General features: G+C 40.4%; 1 protein-coding gene and 1 long non-coding RNA gene across 39 annotated transcripts in view, besides 1 other annotated feature; one reads left to right on the top strand and one right to left on the bottom strand.

Annotated features, from left to right (window-relative positions):
- Positions 1-17,224, top strand: part of ICA1 (islet cell autoantigen 1) — a 149,372-nt gene that overhangs the window by 42,069 nt on the left and 90,079 nt on the right. For 37 of the 38 annotated variants that reach the window (NR_146928.2, NR_146926.2, NR_146927.2 and 34 more), the window contains one exon: positions 1,984-2,182. Coding sequence is in view for 31 of the 38 variants with exons in the window: in XM_024446741.2 (XP_024302509.1) it covers positions 1,984-2,182 (199 nt within the window). In the remaining 7 variants the exon portion in view is untranslated. Of the gene's footprint in view, positions 1-1,983; positions 2,183-6,956; positions 7,049-17,224 lie in introns of those variants that run through there. The other variant, XM_011515355.4, reaches the window with a different exon arrangement.
- Positions 4,349-5,548: an enhancer, noted in NCBI's record as "CDK7 strongly-dependent group 2 enhancer chr7:8254569-8255768 (GRCh37/hg19 assembly coordinates)". NCBI's record gives its function as "activates an origin of replication core promoter dependent on BRD2, BRD4, P300/CBP, MED14 and CDK7 cofactors, with strong dependence on CDK7, by STARR-seq in HCT116 cells {active_cell/tissue: HCT116}" and the evidence as "EXISTENCE:reporter gene assay evidence [ECO:0000049][PMID:35650434]".
- Positions 4,836-10,687, bottom strand: LOC124901587 (uncharacterized). The gene is made up of 3 exons (XR_007060207.1): positions 10,646-10,687; positions 6,679-6,801; positions 4,836-4,961 (listed from the first exon to the last, which is right to left on the bottom strand). It is a non-coding gene; the product is annotated as an uncharacterized LOC124901587 (long non-coding RNA).

The raw sequence follows: 17,224 nt of genomic DNA, 5'->3' as shown, positions 1-17,224 counted from the left end.
AGTTCCCACAAATATTCAAGCTATAGAAATTTCACTTACTCAAATTGTCCAACATTTTCTTCTGTTAATGTCTCCTTGCTGCTTTCCCTCCGTGTGGGCCAAGAGCAGGCCAGCAGCATGGTACATGGTTGTTCCTTTGAAAACCCAAGAAAGAGGAGGAAAAAAGAGACCTGCTGTGTCTGTTTTTCAGTGATGCCTTCTCCTGGGCATTTTGGTTCTTCCTGATGACATTTGGACCCTGACTTTGGGGGCAATGCCAACTTTTATGCTTGAATGAAACCATTTCTAGTAGTTCTCCACACATTTCCCAAGAAAGGTATTTGTTTATCATCTTAAATCTTACCATTTAGTATTATTTATAATTTTTCTATGTAAAAATACATATTCATTCTAGAAAAATTTTAAAATAGAGACAAACCAAAAAGTGAAAATTAAAAAGCAACTAAAATTTTTACTAATAAAATGATCTACTTTTAACCTCTTAATAGATACTTTCTGTGCATATAGGACCTTTTCCAACCTTGCAAGAATAATTGATTCCTAAAAAAATATTTCATAGAGTAAGTTGTCATGTGTTAAACATATAATTATCACTAACTTCAGTGAGAAAAATTCTTAGGCAAAGGAAGAGAAACAAAGAATCTAGAAATGAATAGAATAGTTAGGGAGATAGCTGAGGACTCTTGATGTCTTTAAGTAGAAGTCATCAGTTACACAAACCTTCACACCAGTGTTTGTTTTACAGACTTATTTGGTAGTCATTGCAACAGCCATATATTCTATTTGATGAAAGGTGAGTATTAAATTAAACCAACAGGGATAACAAGCTTACTTTATGGCACAACAATGTCTTTGAAAATAATCTGCAACATCTAGGTAGGACAGTGTGAGCAGGTTATTCTTATACAAGTACTCAATATTTAAAAACAATACTTTACAGAGAAGAAGAAAACTAGGGGAAATAGTAAAAGGAAATTTTTTCTTAAATAGTTCATTGCACCATTTGTAATCTTACCGTGCTACACGCACGTAAGGCATTGCAGACGTTGATGGAATTTCCAAAAGCTGACTTCAGTTCACTGACACCATTGTTCCCTTTAGCTAAATAAGTTTGCATTTAAATTGAAATTTAAATATTCATTTTTTGGCACCTGTGCCCTGAAACTTCATGAAGAAGAGTATATTTTAAGAGTATAATTCATCTGACATTGCTCATTTTTGGGTAGGGAGATGGAAGAAGCAGTGTTTTTCCCCAAGATAAGTATTTTATCCAAAGTTTAATATGCCTTAAATGTTTTTTGGCTGGGTAAAGGGCATATGTTATAGCCAACATTATAATAATTTTACACCTACTTCATCACTTTCATTTCTGGTATAGTATCCTCAAGGTTTTTTTAACAAGGATTAAATCATGTAACCTATCTGAAAGTGCTAACACACGACAGCCTCTCAGTAAATGTGCTGGTCCCCCTTCCTATACCATTTCAAAATGCTTCTGCTCATATTTCATTCCTCTGTGACTATTGGAGTGAGCAGCAGATGCCTTGGCCTTTGGAGAGTGATCTAAAATGGCCTAGTCGGAGAGATGCTAATCACATACGCTCCATTCCTCCTCAAAGGGCCAAATGTAGAAATGGGCAGTGGTCATGCCTTGGCCATCCTCCATGAACACGGGATTGGCCCCAGCTTCAAATGAGCACTCAGCCCAGGCTCAAGACCACCCCCAACAACGCGGATGGAGGTGCTTGCCAGTGGTCCAGTTAGTAGCAGTAAACTAAGGGATGGGTACATGGATAATCTTCTCTGGCTGACTAATCAGTTGGAACTACATGCATTTCGATTATTATTCAGCAAATATTGATGGAGCATCTTCTACATTCCAGGTACTGTTCTAGACTCACGAGTCTAAGATTGGCAGAATGTCAAGGATTTAAATTGCTCACTGGCTTAGTTTTGAGAGTGTGGCTTTGTCCTCTTGTCTAGGTTGGCCTTACGAAATCCTTTGTGTCGATTTCACCAAGAAGTGGAGACTTTTCGGCATCGGGCCATCTCAGATACTTGGCTGACGGTGAACCGCATGGAACAGTGCAGGACGGAATATAGAGGAGCACTATTATGGATGAAGGACGTGTCTCAGGAGCTTGATCCAGACCTCTACAAGCAAATGGAGAAGTTCAGGAAGGTAGGAGGTTTTATGAGGGTTAGCAGAAGGGGTACCTGCTGGAAGGTAATGAGGTGTGATTTGAATCCCTCTGGTGAAGAAGACATAACTCAAAAGCACCAAGGATGCAATTAATCATCGCTGGTGTCTTTTTATGTGACAGAATACCAATTAATGTGATACATAATTCTCTAAAGGATAAGATAGAAGAGACAGCTGGAAATTGCTGGGATTTCATAACTGCTTTTAATTGAAGTCAGATTTTCTTATAATGTGCACTTTTTGTAAGATTGTCACATTTAAATGCCTTTTCATGCATAACTAAAAATCAAGATTAGATCAAATGAATCTGGGAGGTTAGAACAGACTACTGGGGAAATCTTTTAAAATCGCTAATGCATATTAAAATTAATAGAATAATAATGCTCCTTTGTTTTGCGATATGTTCAGAAGCAGTGGGGTTTAGTTGCAGGGTTAACTCATGCAGCATTCCTCAGAAATTTTTCTGAGGAAAATATGTGGCTGAAGAGATGGCTATGCTCTTAAAGATTTGGATATGCACTGAAAGATTTGGTGAGCAGTAAAGAACAATCTTGTTGGTTTTTTAATTGTGTCAATTTAGCAGTTTGATTTTGTCATACAAGAATACATCACACCACTAGGTGGCAGTCTTACACTGAATATTTATGAAAATGCAGCGAGATTTTTGTTGTGTACAATCTTGGTAGTTCTTTGTTTGGTCGCCTGGATATATTTCAGAGTGTGAAAGAAAAAAGAATCAGCCAAATGTTAGGCTTGACATAATATTGTGTCAACTGTCTTACTCACTTCAAATGATCCATTTGTAATTGTGATATTGCTTAAAATCCCTAGATTTCTTATTATGTACATTATTGCAGAGCTACAAATAGAACCATCACTTGCGTTGGAGGTTAGCTGTGTAGAGGTGGAGGGAAGGAGGGACCTTCTGGTCCTTAAGAATACGGTCACCAATTCTTGACCTAGATATAGATTGATTTCTTTAAAGTCAAGTTTTATCTTGGTTTGTGATTTAGAACCCTTCCCTCTGAAGAGAAAGCAGGGTCCATTTTATTTCTGATCGCAGATGTTCTTCATGTGTCAGCAACATCTGACTTCTTCAAAAGGTAGGCTTCTGAATCATAGAAAATCAGGACTAAAAAGGCTGCTCATGATCCTCTGGTGAAACTCGCTCATCTTATAGAAGAGAAAAATCAAAGCCCCAAAATTGTAAATAACATTTTTAAAGGATTGCTAGCTAGATGCTGGTGAGCCCAGGCTACTTTTGAAGTTTTCTAACTTTCTAATCAGGCCAATAATTTGGTTTGTCTTTAGCACTTTATTTGAGGGTTGAGGAGAATGAAGAGGGTGAAAAAAATTGCCTGCAGGGCAGAGTGCTTATCATTTGTATCTGTTGCCTCCTTTACTCCTCACAATAACCAAGACACCGATTTTATTTTATAAGCGAGGAAAATGATACCCATGTTAGGAAATTAGCCCAAGATCAGAGAGGTAAATGAGAGTCAGAATCATTCAAAATACACATAATTTTCTTCTCTAAGAGAGAATACCTAAAATTGAAAAAGGCCTTTCATACTAATTCCTCTCTTGTGATTTATTCACTCAATTAATATTTATTGAACACCTCCTATGTGCCAGGTAATAAAGATAAATATATGATTATTCTGGAAGGCAGAAGAATTTTATGTGGAATTTTTTTTTTGGTTTTGTTTTGTGGGGGTGGTTACTAACTGTAAGGACGAAATAAAAACCAAGCCCGTTCGTCATTTGGTTTGAGTGTTGAAACATTACCCATTCCTTGGTGTCATCAGTCTGTTGATTTTGGAAAACATGTTTTTTTAAAAAAAAATCCTTTGCCATGCAGAAGTTGCTGAAGCCTTACTCCCCAATCCCATGTGTGCTGGATTCAATTTAACAGCTAAACATGGTGTACTTAGAATCTTTTTTTAAATAAGCCTGTCTTCAAGTGTATATTTGATTAGACCAGACTCTCCACAAGGACAGAAACCATGTTGGGGATCTTCACAGCCATCACCCCAGGGCCAGTCCAGCACTTGACCCCAAATGAGCACATACATAACAGATGACAAGATTCCAGGCACTGATTTGGAAGTGCCACACCCATGTTTTCTCAAACCTGTAGGGCATTCCCGCCATTTGCAGCTGACCTCATGATGTTTTGGAAATTGACTTATGTGGTTTTGCAGGTAAGAAGTTGCGTTATTAATGTGAGGCTTGCTGCCCTCTTTAGAATGAATTTAAATTGTGGAGTTTTCCCTTCACTTGGAGTTTACAACATGACATTTAACTTTGAGCAAGCTTTAGTGTTTTGTCCCAGTAGGATTCCATTTTAAACAGAGTCTCCATTTCTCTCCCAGGGATGTGTTACCTAAACGTGTTTCTGAGTCATCTAGGAGAGCTATCCAGCTGCAAGTGGCTCCTCAGGAGTGACTGTGGGAGGGGGAGTTTCAGTCTCCTCGGGGCCGGCTGCCACCTTCACGTCTTAAAGGATGAATCCTGAGCTAAAGTAGTATTTTGCTATAAATTCTCTTTTTTGAGTTCACACTTTCTGGTGGAGACAAAATTCTAATTCATACCTCATGGATGTGATCTCCCTATTTGGATTCCTTAGTATCCACTCATTCATTTATTTGTCCATTCAACAAATGATATTGAAGCTGGGCCCTGTTCAGGCAGCATCCAGGGGAATACAGCAGTAAGGAGGCAGATTGATCATTGCCATCTTGTCTTGTGCAGTCATCTGTGGATAGAGCAAGTAAACATAGTACAGCATGGTGAACAGTAGTGTCTGTGGTGGCGCATGGTGAACAGTAGTGTCTATGGTGGCACGTGGTGCTGCAGGAGCTCCTGGAAGGGGCTTCCTGGAGGAGGTGGCACTAAACAAAATGTGAAGGATGGGTAGGAAAGAGCTGGGTAGAAGGAGTAGAAGCAACAGAGCAGCATTCCTGGCTGAGAAAGCAATTTACGAAAGGCCTTTTAGGGGAAAGGAGCAGCGTGCTTAGAACCAGAGCACAGAAGGTGAGGTGAGTGTGGAGATGGGGGTGCCCTGACCATGGGGTTAGAAAGGGAGACAGGACTGGAATAGAAAAGACACCGCTCTAAGGGGACGGAGTAGTGGGAGGGTGTAGGGAAGGCAGGAGGCATGATCAGGTTTGTGTTCTTTGTAAGGTGGAGAAGGGATTGCGAGGGCCTAAGCTTGGAGGCTGGGAGAACTACTGGGAGGCTTTTACACAAACCCGGATGAGACATAAGGTAACCATGAAATGAAGGGGGAGGTAGACCAGAGAGAAATGGGCTGTTCTGACCTCTACCAGATTCCGTGGTAGCACCACTTTAATTGCTGAGCTCTTCATTGTCTTTAGAAATAAGTAGAATAAGCATAAATAAATCGCAAGTTCAAGTGTATTTTCACTTCCAACCAAGGCTTTTTTCATAGTGTCTTCAGATTGCCAAGAAACCTTTTAAATAGCACACAGTGAGCATGACTGAAATGATGAATGAAAAACCTGAAGTTAAACAAAGCAATCTGTTTTCCTTCTGGCACCCTGTGAAGCACAGAGGCCTGACGACAGAGCTCTCAACATCAACATTAAGAGCATTTATTAAGTGTCTGTGTCGGGGGTGGAAATACAAAGAGGTGGGAAAGCGTGAGTCCAGCCTTCAAGAAGGACCCTGCCAGGCATCTGCTCCTTGTCAATATGACCATGAGGGACGGGATACCTGGAGAGTGTGGCTGCACATAGCTGTTCTCAAGACCAAATACATAATAGGAAAAGGTGGATGGATTTAAAGGGGCAGGGCTGAGCTGTGTGCAGTTGGAAGTTCCTCCTGACAGCGTGATTCACCCCAAGACCACGAGGTATTTTATGAGCAAAGTTACAACGTGTGATATATGTGCTCTTTGAAGGCAGAGTAAAAGGGTATGATTTAAAAGTAGAAGTCAGCTTCTTGTAGCAGATTACATCAGCTGAAGTTGTGAGCTTGCTGCAGAGCTTTCGCAGCCTGAATGCCCTTGAGAGAGTCCTCCTGTGGTCAATTAAGTGTCTTGTTTTTCTTGAAAGTCAGAAATGGGATGGAGGGTAATTATTCTAAATGGGATAAAAGCTGTGTTAGGTGTAAGAAAATAGTCCTGAATCCTCTAAAGAGATAGTATAGAAATGTATACGTGGGCATTTATAGGAGTCTGAGTCCTCATAGACAAGGACAAGCGGACCAGTGTTTTAATGAGGGCCATTTATTAAACGGCTAATGAAATCCTACAGCATTTGTCTAGTGTTTCATCACCATAATTCAAAAGGATAGCTAAAAGGTATTATAGGAAATGAGTGATACTCACTGGTATTTGCAGGTGCGTATCTATTTAAAATAGTGTTAGGTTTTGGAGACTGTTCATGCACTAATCATATTATCAAAGGATATGTGGTGAGAAGGTTTATTAACAAATGTTGGTGGCTTACTCGGTGGGACCTTATTAGGGCCATCAGTCAGTGGTGCTCCGGTGTCCTGATTGTGAAGGTTTGGGTCTATGGCACTTGGTCAAGGACTGGTAAACAGCAGTATTGATATGGGGGATGGGTTTCCTGTGAACAAAGACTTGGGTTAATTAATTTGACAGTATCATTAATTACTGCTGAAATCATTGGTTTTTGTCAGAGGTCAGGCTCTTTTAGCAATTGAGGGCAGGTCCCATGAGAGTTGGAGACACTAAGTAATGCAAGAGTGTCACTGCTCAACCATCTCAGGCTGTAGGACGAAGGCCTTTCCTTTCTGCCTGGGCCATTCAGCTCTCTGGATTAAACCAGTTTCTGCTTTACTTCAGTGTCTAAGGTAGGGCTGGGACACCTCCCCCTATGCCAGTGAGTTGTGTTGAGTGAATGGGGAACATTTCCAGTTTGGATCCATACAGTGAACCAGTGTTAAATGTTTAAGCGCTAATATCTCTCAGGACTTTGCTTAATTCATATATAAAGGAGGTAGGGTAGGGGGCTTATTCCATTATCTGCTCTTCCTCTGCTAATTCTAGAATTCTATACAGTGGATTGAGTTCTTTTATGAGGAGAATTTCTTTTGTAAAACTAATGCTCTCTTAAATGTATTTGTTTCATAACTCGCCATTTTCATTTGTAGGTTTTGTTGTGTGCCTGTTGTTTGGGTTTGGTTGTTTAACTGGGGTGCCTGTTTTTTGTGGATTCAAGTAGATTGACTCTAGCTGCCAAACCCCACCCGTGGGTTGCTGCTTTTTTAGAGTATGTGAATGCCGAAGGAAAAGCCTGCTGTTTTCACATGGCACAACTTGGAAGGGAACAAACAATTACACCCATGCTTCCAGTTCTGAATTGGATGAGATGAGGCTTTGGATGAAAGCCTCATCTTTATTGATTTTCCCCATGGAACTTGGTAAATAGCAAAAATTAGCTTTAGGGTGAAGCCAAGACCATTTAAAATAACATGCATGAAACAGATAACTTGCAGAGCTGGTGGCTGGCTGGCTGCTGCTCCTGACTGGAAATGGAGAGGAGGAAGGAGCGTGACCTCAGAGTCAGGATGGTGCTACACTCCGTCCCCGCCCTTGCTGACACCAGCTGTGACCACTTGGATAGGTCCGATAGGCCTATTGCAGTTTTCTCATCCACTGAAGGTGATTGCTGAGCCCTCTTCCAGCTGCAACATTTTTAGTTTTTCGTTTTGTTTTGTTTGTTTTGAGACAGGGTCTTGCTCTGTCTCCCAGGCTGGAGTGCAGTGGTGCAATCTCAGCTCACTGCAACCTCCGCTTCCCAGGTTCAAGCATTTCTTGTGCCCCAGCTTCCTGAGTAGCCGGAATTACAAGCACGGGCCACCACACCCAGCTAATTTTTGTATTTTTAGTAGAGATGGGGTTTCACCATGTTGGCCAGGCTGGTCTCAAGCTCCTGGCCTCAAGTGATCTGCCCACCTTGGCCTCCCAAAGTGCTGGGAGTACAGGTGTGAGCCACAGTGCCTGGCCTTAGTATTTTTTTTTCTAAATCACTGAGCTCTTCTGTAGAGAAGTGTCGATACTGGAGAAGGACTGACATGTACTTTTTTCAATGTGGTGTTTTCCTGGGACTTCAAGTAAGTTCTGGTCTTTCTGAGTCTGCTTGCTCTTGTTGCTGTTGCTCTAATCTTAGCCTCTGGAAAAAAATAAGAATGTTTCATGCATAATTATTGGGTGAATTTATTGGACACTTTCAAAGAGGAGCCTTTGGTATTTACAAATGGGTAATATTTTTCTCTTATTTATATATGAATACTTTTGCAAGGGTCAGTAACCTATGGCCCACAGGTCAGCCACCTGTTTTTGTAAATAAAGGTTTTATTGGAACATGACCATGCCTATTCATTCACTTAGGACTATAAGTGGTCTGGCTCCTTTCACAATACCATGGCAGAGTTGAGCAGTTACAACAGAGGCTAATGGCTCACAAAGCTAAAAATACTTACTCGCCACCCCTTTATAGAAAACAGTTTGCTGGCTGCTGTTTTATAGGTACCTCTGGTGCATGTTGAGATTAAGAAAGTGTGAGGTTTTAAAATTTTTTAATTGTGGTAAAAAGAAACACATACCATAAAATTTGCCATCTTAGCCATTTTTAAGTGTCCAGTTGAGTAGTGATCAATGTATTTACATTGTTGTGCAATGGAACTGTAGAACATTTTCATCTTGGCCCCAGACAGTCCAATTCCAGAGCTCACTATGTAAACCACTCATTCCTCCCACTCCTACAGAGCACTATGAACAAATGAAATCCAGGGCCCATGGTACTCAGAGTAGAATGAGACCTGATCTACAAACCAGAAGATCCATTTCTTCAGGGCATAATGCTGGACAAACTACCAAACGCATTAACCACGCTAAGCCTCCCTTGCAGGTTGGAGCTGAGGAAGGTGCCCGTCACCGGGGGGCAGTGAGTTTTAGAGGGCATGAGTCACAGGAGGTACTTAGCAGGGCACATGGCACAAGGCAAGCTCTCAGATAATGGAAACTCTTTTTTATAGTTACCATATTTACTGCTGAATCTCCAAGGGAAAAAAAAAATTAACATCCAGCAAAACACATATGCTAAGTAAATCAGCTGTGGGTTCTCTGGGAGGTTGGCCTCAGCCTTGGATTGCCCCCACAATGTGGGCTGGAGTAAATGGTGTTTATCGTTCTGGATTGTCTGACAGTTTGTCACACAGGAGTCTCCAGGTATGACAGGCCACTCCTGACTTCCTCTTCTACGATTCAGCGGCCTTCCTCCAACCCAAAGTGCAGGTGACTTCCAAAGTGCCTGACTGTCTCAGGAGTCCCGCCAACCCAGGATTAGCTGCCTGTCCTGTCTCTCGCTGGAGCTCCTGGGATCCCTTGAACATTTTGCTTTAAAATTTCCCTTGGCCCATGGTGGTGCACGTCTGTAATCCCAGCTACCCAGGAAGCTGAGGTGAGGATCCCTTGAGCCTGGGTGGCAGAGATTGCAGTAAGCCATGATCACGCCACTGTACTCCAGCCTGGGAGACAGAGTGAGACCCCGTTTCAAAAAATAAAACATTAAAAAAAATTTTTTTCCTTTGGCTATAATGGTTAGACAACCCACCTTTGTGTTCAGGGATTTTTTTTTCCCCTCTGTGGTCTACTTTTAGTTGGATGGAGTCTTTGAAAAAAAAATTGTCTTTTGAGCATAATTTTGCGTTTATAAATGGATAGGCTAGGAAATTATATAGTGGTCTGTTAATTTGTACCTTTCCTACTGGATGTACTTTCACAGCTTTTATATTATTTCTGCTTTTAGTTCGACTTCGTGGTGAGAAATATTTAAGTTTAAATAAATACATATTCATGATGTGTTTATGTCCTGAAAAGTTTTCAGTTACGTTTGTGCAAAATAAGTAAATATATTTACACACATCCCCAAAATGACAGACATTTAAGCACATTTCTCTCACATCCTTTTCTGTTTCCCAAGCTAGAGGCTGATCCTCAGCTGCTACCATTATTCAGTCTCCACATGCAGGAGGCCTCTTGTTTCTAATAATTCTACTTCCAAAGTGTCTCTTGAATTGGTTCCCTCCTCTCATCCCCAGTGCTCTTATCTGAGCTAGGATCTTCCTCAATTTAAAGGACTATAATTGGCACCCCTTTCCACACTAATGCTAGTCCAATTCTGTAACATAAAGTGATCATGTCTTTCTCCTGGCTAATAACTTTCTGTGGCCCTTCCTTGGACAATTGACAAGTCCAAAGTTAGTGTGGCCTTCTAGGCCCTCCACAGGCTGGCTCTGACCTACCTCCCCCAACCCCAGCTTCCCTCTAGAATAATTTCCCTCCCGCCTCTCTTCCCTGCTGCTGCCACACACATACATGCACACCCTGTGTTTCCAGCCTCATTAAAATCTGTGCCATTCACCCCATTCTTAACACACTCTGACCTTTGCAGGCTCTGTTTCTCCCACCAGAAATTCCCTTCTCCCTCTTTTGTGCCTGTAAAACTTTGAGGCATCATTTAAAGCCACGTGACCCTCAGGGAGCCTTTGCCGACTTCCCAAAGCAAGGCTGTTACCCTTTTGCACTGTTCCTGTTGCACTTTATACATGCTTCTTAGCCTGCCACTTGGTAGATATTCAATAAATGTTTATCAAATGAGCAAATAGGTAAATAAATAGGCTTAATTATTATGCAATTGGGGTTCAAGAATGTGTAAAATCCGGGTCTTACACATCCTCGAACCCAAATTGCATAATAAATAAACATAATATGCATCTTATAAATGTATTACTGAAATTTAATCCTTCCATTGAACAAAAATGAGACTCAGGTATGCAAGCGAGGAGTCATTTGATATTAACATCCTAGAAGATACCATCTATACTTACTAATTCATAATTTCTGTTCCTTGAATTCTATAAGTAGAGGAACTATCCATACAGTTTTTTTAAAATTAAGCATGTTTTGTAATACTATAAATGCTAATATGTTGGCTTCAAACAGATTTTTTTCAAGTGTGGAGGGGGAAGGACCACATCTCTCTTGAGAGGCATTAAATCTTTCCATGTGACATTTCTCTAATTGTTTAAGGGAAAAGCTTGCTTAACTCTCGAGTTTCAGAGTGGACTCTGGACAAAAGTGAATTATCTGTGAACTCATCTGTGTGAACTGATCTGGTCCAAGATAGTTTTCCTTTTGCCAGATTGTCTGGCTTTTCTTCCTAAGGTTTAGGTGTATTGGGTGGCACATGCAAGCTTGGCTTCTAGAATTTCATGGATGACAACAGTCAAAACATAACAGGTTTTACTGAGTGGAACCATCAAGTTCCAGGTCAAAATACTGCCGTAAATTGAGCCCATCTCTTAACAAGGGCTCCTCAGTGCCTCAGCAGCTTGAATCTCTTGGATGACTGTTTCCATGTTTCATCACTTAATGCTTTTGGCTGCAGGGTCAGAGGGATGTATAGTGCCTGTGACAACTCCCCCTACCCCCACCCAACACTGACTGTTCCGCTGGCCTCTGTCTCTTTTTGGTAGCTCCTGAAGAAGGTATCATCTTAAATTACGGGTCAATGGAAAATTACCATGTTCAGGTAGTATGATTTACTGGTTACTATCTCTCGCCTCTGTAGTTTATCCCTAAGTCTGTCATAGCAACACATCCTTCTAGATTACTTTCTTCTTTTTGGTTAACAGCTCACATATCATCTTTCCCAGCTAGTCGTCTTATTCACCAAGATGAAATGTTGTAATTTTTACCATCTTCTAGATTTCAGTATAAAAGAAGACAGTTGTACCCTGGTGGGTTAGCCCAGCACACTCGTTTAAAGTATTTATGCTTCAGGGATCCATTACTTTTTATTTTTATTTTTATTTTAAAATATGGTGATTTACTTACATATACAAAATAGAGCATGGGTTTTATTTAAATTTCAAACAGGAGCAGTGTAGCTACTGTTTCCCGAATGCCAATAGCGTTATAGTACTGTAAGTTGCTTTTGTTAGAATCAAAAAGAATTTTCTTCAAATCCTTCTTTACAAACAGACTTCGGTGACTGCAAAAATAATGGTTTCGTGGTTGCCTAGATTGCCACTTTTACGTAAAACTAGATTTATAAGTTGGCTAGGGAAAATTAATATTTTAGAAAGAAAGATCTAAATCACAATTGCTTTAGGAAAAACTTGTGTTCTGTGTTAGTTTGTCATCAAGGAATATTAAAGAATTTTGAATAGCATTTTTTAATGATTGAATTATTTTTGTTAACCCTCAACAAAGCATTCCTAACAAGGTTTATGCAAGCAGTATTGGCCCTATAATGGAGTCATAGGTTGTCATGATTTCATAGGTTCCCTGTCTCTCAGTGAAACTCAGAATCCCCTTTGTCCCAGGTCCTAAGTCTATCTATATTTTAGTGTTTGAGCTATCGGAAGAATGATCCAATAGAAAACTGGTAGTTTCCATTCATAGTTCTGAGATTTAAAATAGCAAAAAAAGATGTTGGATGATTCCTTGTTCTCCAGAGAACTGCTGTAATTCTAATCTAACAGGGAAATGAGGAAATGGAGGCTGGCATGTTACCGGTTTATGTCCTGGTCAGCAGGAGCTCTGTTCACTAAAATGTGCACAATTCTCAGCCACTTTCATCCCACTTACCTCAAAAAGTGTCTTCGCTTTGTCTCCTTTAGTGAGTTATTGATAAAAAGAAAACCTTAAACAGAAAACAGCTTTAAAAATATGTGTACTACCTTTCAAACATAAAATTTTCAGGACAGTTACAGGTATAATAAAATTATCCCAAGTGAAGAAATCCTGCTTCATCTTCAGCAGCTATCCCACTCCTAATAATTAAGCAAGATCAATGGAACTCAGAGAGAGGAGCCTTAAAATCTTAAATGGGCCAATTTTACATGGGTTCAGGGAGCCCTAAAAAGAAGCAGACCCTAAGAGCCTGTTGGTATAACTCTGAAATGAAATTCCCACATGCATTAATCAGGCTTCTGTTGTTACCATCAAATGAAATATGATTTTCGGGCTTGGTAACACTTCACAGTTGATTGGCTCCTTCTATCCAACCACCCATCTATCTGTGCATCCATCTTTTAAAATTCTCTCTCCAGCTGTGACTCTGAGACAACCATTGTCATTTAGATGCTGATTCCTCACTGTGGTTCTGTTGGTGACTGCTGACATTGAAATGAGGGATGTTTCTCAAGATAGATTAATTATATAAACAAATTGAGGGATGAGGTCTTCTTCTGCTTTGTTCTTTTGAATAAATTTCTGTCCTGGACCACTAGAAGTGGGACTCAGCCATGCTTACAAGCAAAAATAGTTCATGGGTATTAGTTCATGTTCTGAGAGAGGTTCAGGCGAACGGACTTGGAAAATATCCACATCGGAAGAGGAGGGACCATAGGGGAAAATAGTCTACAGATTAATGCATGTGAAATAAATGAAGAAATCTCTCAAATAAGGAAGCTGAGAAAATAGTGGGGCAAAATATGTTACATTTAGGATCTTGTTCTCTTTCTTTTTTTTTTTTTTTTTTTTTTCATTTTAAACCTGTGGGAGAAAGATCCAGGAGAAGCTGGCAACCGCAAGTGCTTCCAGGGCCTGGAAGCAAGTTGGGGGATGAGATGAGCTGAGGAAGCTAAGAATGAGGTTGAGGTTTCACCATACGCCTTTTCCTGCCTCTCAAATGTTGTGCCATGTGCACGGGTTACCCATTAAAATAATTTGTATTAAAAATATTGAGAATCAATGAGATTGAAGAACAGAAGAAAAGGGAGAATGACAGAAAAGTTTCTTAAATTGGCAAAAATGGGGAGGGTTTTTAAATGGTTTGTTTTTAATAATAATAAAGGGAAGAGAGAAATCAGGCTTTAGGGGCAAAGATGGGAAGCTAAGTTCCAAGGTAATGTCAAGTGGGCAGCTGGATGGAGGAGGTTGGAGGATGAAGTCATTTTCGAAAGCCATCAGCAGGGAGAGCCATGTGAGGAGGTGAAGTCACTTAGGGATGGAAGGATCAAAACTAGTGCCTGAGGGAAATCCACCAAATAGCAGGAAGGAAGATGAGAGTGTTTCTTTTAAAAGCCTCCACTGTTCTAGGAGAACTTCAAGAAGCAGTTATGCTTATCCGGAAAGGGAAAAAAGGTGAGAAAGTAAAAAGCCAACTTTTCCCACATATCTCAATTCTGTCCTAGAAGGAACATGTTCTATGTTTAGCATCAGTGAGAACGTGGAGAAAATCCTTTCCCAAAAAAGAACGAAGGGGGAGGGGGAGAGAGGCTGTGGAGGGGGCAGCTATTTGAGAGGGAACCATCTCCACACTTTCAACCCAACTCCAGGCCTTCGAGTTGGATTGCAGCACCCTACAGGCCGAGGTTTCGTCTCCTGACATGGAGGTTTTCTGTCAGCCTTAATGACTTGCTCTGTGTTCAGCGTCCACTTCTATTTCTTATTCATGCTGTTTAATGTGCTGAGACACAGTCTTTCCCTACAGTCTCTCTCTCAACTCTGTTCTCTCAATCTAGCGATTTCATCAGTTCCTTTTCTTTGGGAGTCTTCCAGGTCTTACAAACTAAACCCAAGAGGATTTATGTTCCTGCTAGCCCCAATTTTGTCATTAAAAGTTTTTGAGTAGTATCAATTGCCATAAATCAAACTAATATCCCTCTGGCTTCATAATATTTGTTTATTACTAGCTTATTTTTTAATACTCTCATAAGGGTCTCCTAATGTTCAAGTTTAAAAAGAAATGGAAACACATGCAGATTCTAAACCACACATCTTTTTGTGTGCATGTTATGGATTGGGCTCCTTTTAACAAAGTGTATGTGTTAAAGTCAGGTATGACTGGGAACACAGAGGATGTGGCTCCTCTGAGGGTTACTAGAGACTATGTGGCATACTCAGGTTTCACTGGAATTTTATCAGAGGCACCACAAATCAAGTATTTTAGAATAAGACATTGAAAACATCTTTAATTTTAAAGATCTGCATATCTTCCTCATCCAGGCTGTGTATGCCATGCTTCCTCACCTTCCCTCCCCAAGCCCTGCCAGGAAAAGGCAGGGATTTGTAAACTGAAGCTATGTCAGCTAAAGCTTTTATTGGTACTTATGATCCAGGCCTCCGTCTGCTTTTCATTAATTCTCTGCTGAAAGAATTAGCTTAGCCCACCCCCCCGCCTTTTTTTTTTTTTTTTGCATGTCTTCCATTTTAAAATAAAAAGCAACAGCTAAAAGTCATGATGTGAAACCAGACAATGGTTAGATTTCGTAAGTTAGACTCCCTCTTCCTTATCCTTAGTGTATTTTAGGTTTTAGGCAAAACCTATTAGATTCATTGTGGACTTAATTGTCCCTCCTTTCTCCCTGGCATGTCCCCATTTTCCCCACTGTTCTGCAATGTCAGCTAATAAATGGTGCAAGTAAAGTTGACATTAAGGAGATGACAATAGGAAAGAGTATTTTGAAAATATAATGAAGATTTGATGAACTTTCTTACGATTTAATCCAGAAAATAAGAAAAACGTACTTTAAAAGAACGTTAAACATGAGTTGTGCAAAAGTCAAAAGACTGCTCATTTTTTGTTTAAAAATATCTTTTTCTTAGTACAAAAGCACAGCAGATATTTAAACTCCACAATGAACAATGTGATAGGTTTATTTATGTAAGAAAATTAACATATTTGAATTTTTTCCCAGCCTAGAGTTTTCCCTAACATTCTGCCTTGTAGATAGATGTAGCAGCTCTTTAAATATGTACATAATGCAGAATATTTTTGATTAAATATTGGTAAAGTTCTCTACAGTTTACAAAGCTGTTTCATATTCATTACTTCGTTAAAACTGCACAAGAGTTTAGCGAGGGTATGAATTCTTTTTCCCATTTCACAGATAAGACCACAGGGCAGCCATGACTGACTTGCCCATAGCCATACGTGTGAACTAGAATTTGAACCCAAGCCTCTGACTCTAGAGTCAGTGCTCTTCTCGGCTTTCCAGCCCCATATTACTACAATCCGATAAACAGATCCTTGTGTGATATTAGGTTACTATTGGAAAAAAAGGTTTCTGGGGTAGAGGAGACCTGGCTTCCTGTTCAAGTAGCAGTCACATCTTCCAGCACATGCCACGTCCTCTGAACTCGTTTTTCTGACCCCAGTGTTTCATGTTCCAAGCACCCTTAAGGAGTATTTGGGCTTTTTTTTTTCCTTCTCACCAATCTCTCTGTCTCTTGAACATCCAGTCACATTTCTGGGTTTGGCGTTTCACATTTCTGTTCTACCTTATTCTGGGAGTCGTTTTTTGAGGTGAAATGGCAGGTCTAGAGCCTGAATTCCTTGGGGTCTGTCTGGCGCCTGAATCCTGCAAGAGTAGGCTCAACTCAGGGACCCAAAGCTGAGGCTCATGGTTGGAAAGTAGACATCACAAAGGCCAGCATCCAGCAAAGGATCCTCTGCAAATTGCCCCACAGGTTTAAAGCCTGTCACTGTTGAAAGGTTTGCGGTCATAAGAGGAAAGTAGCAGAAGCCCTACAGCAAATAGGCACAGAAAATTAACAGGCCCCCTGCAGACATTTCCAGTGAAGAACATCTCAACTCACTCTGAATTAGGGCCTCTCTGGCCTGAGTTGAGTGTAAGAATCCTCTGAGAAGCAAGTTGGATGTGGAGAATCCTGGCTTCTACCTAAGGATTTTGATTCTGGAGGCCTGGGGTGGGGCTCAGAGATCTGACTTTTAATGGGCTCCCAGATAATTCCTTTTCTGGGATCCATAGATCACACCTTGAGAAATACTTTCTCAGAGCACCATCGTGAAATAGCTGATGTTCATGATGATGACTGATCCATCAAAAAAGGCAATTTTGCTCTATTTTAGAAGATAGACATTTAATAAGAGGTATCTGACTTATATGAAGATTTCTTATGTCTTAACTTTTTTTTTAATAGAATATGCTTTACCTACATGGAAAAGTCACTTAAACCACTGGATTTCCCAGGAACTCTACTATATTAAG

This window comes from Homo sapiens, chromosome 7, assembly GCF_000001405.40.
Source record: "Homo sapiens chromosome 7, GRCh38.p14 Primary Assembly".
NCBI lineage: Eukaryota > Metazoa > Chordata > Mammalia > Primates > Hominidae > Homo > Homo sapiens.
Note: the sequence above shows the minus strand (reverse complement) of the source record. Positions and strands in the feature narration are given on the sequence as shown.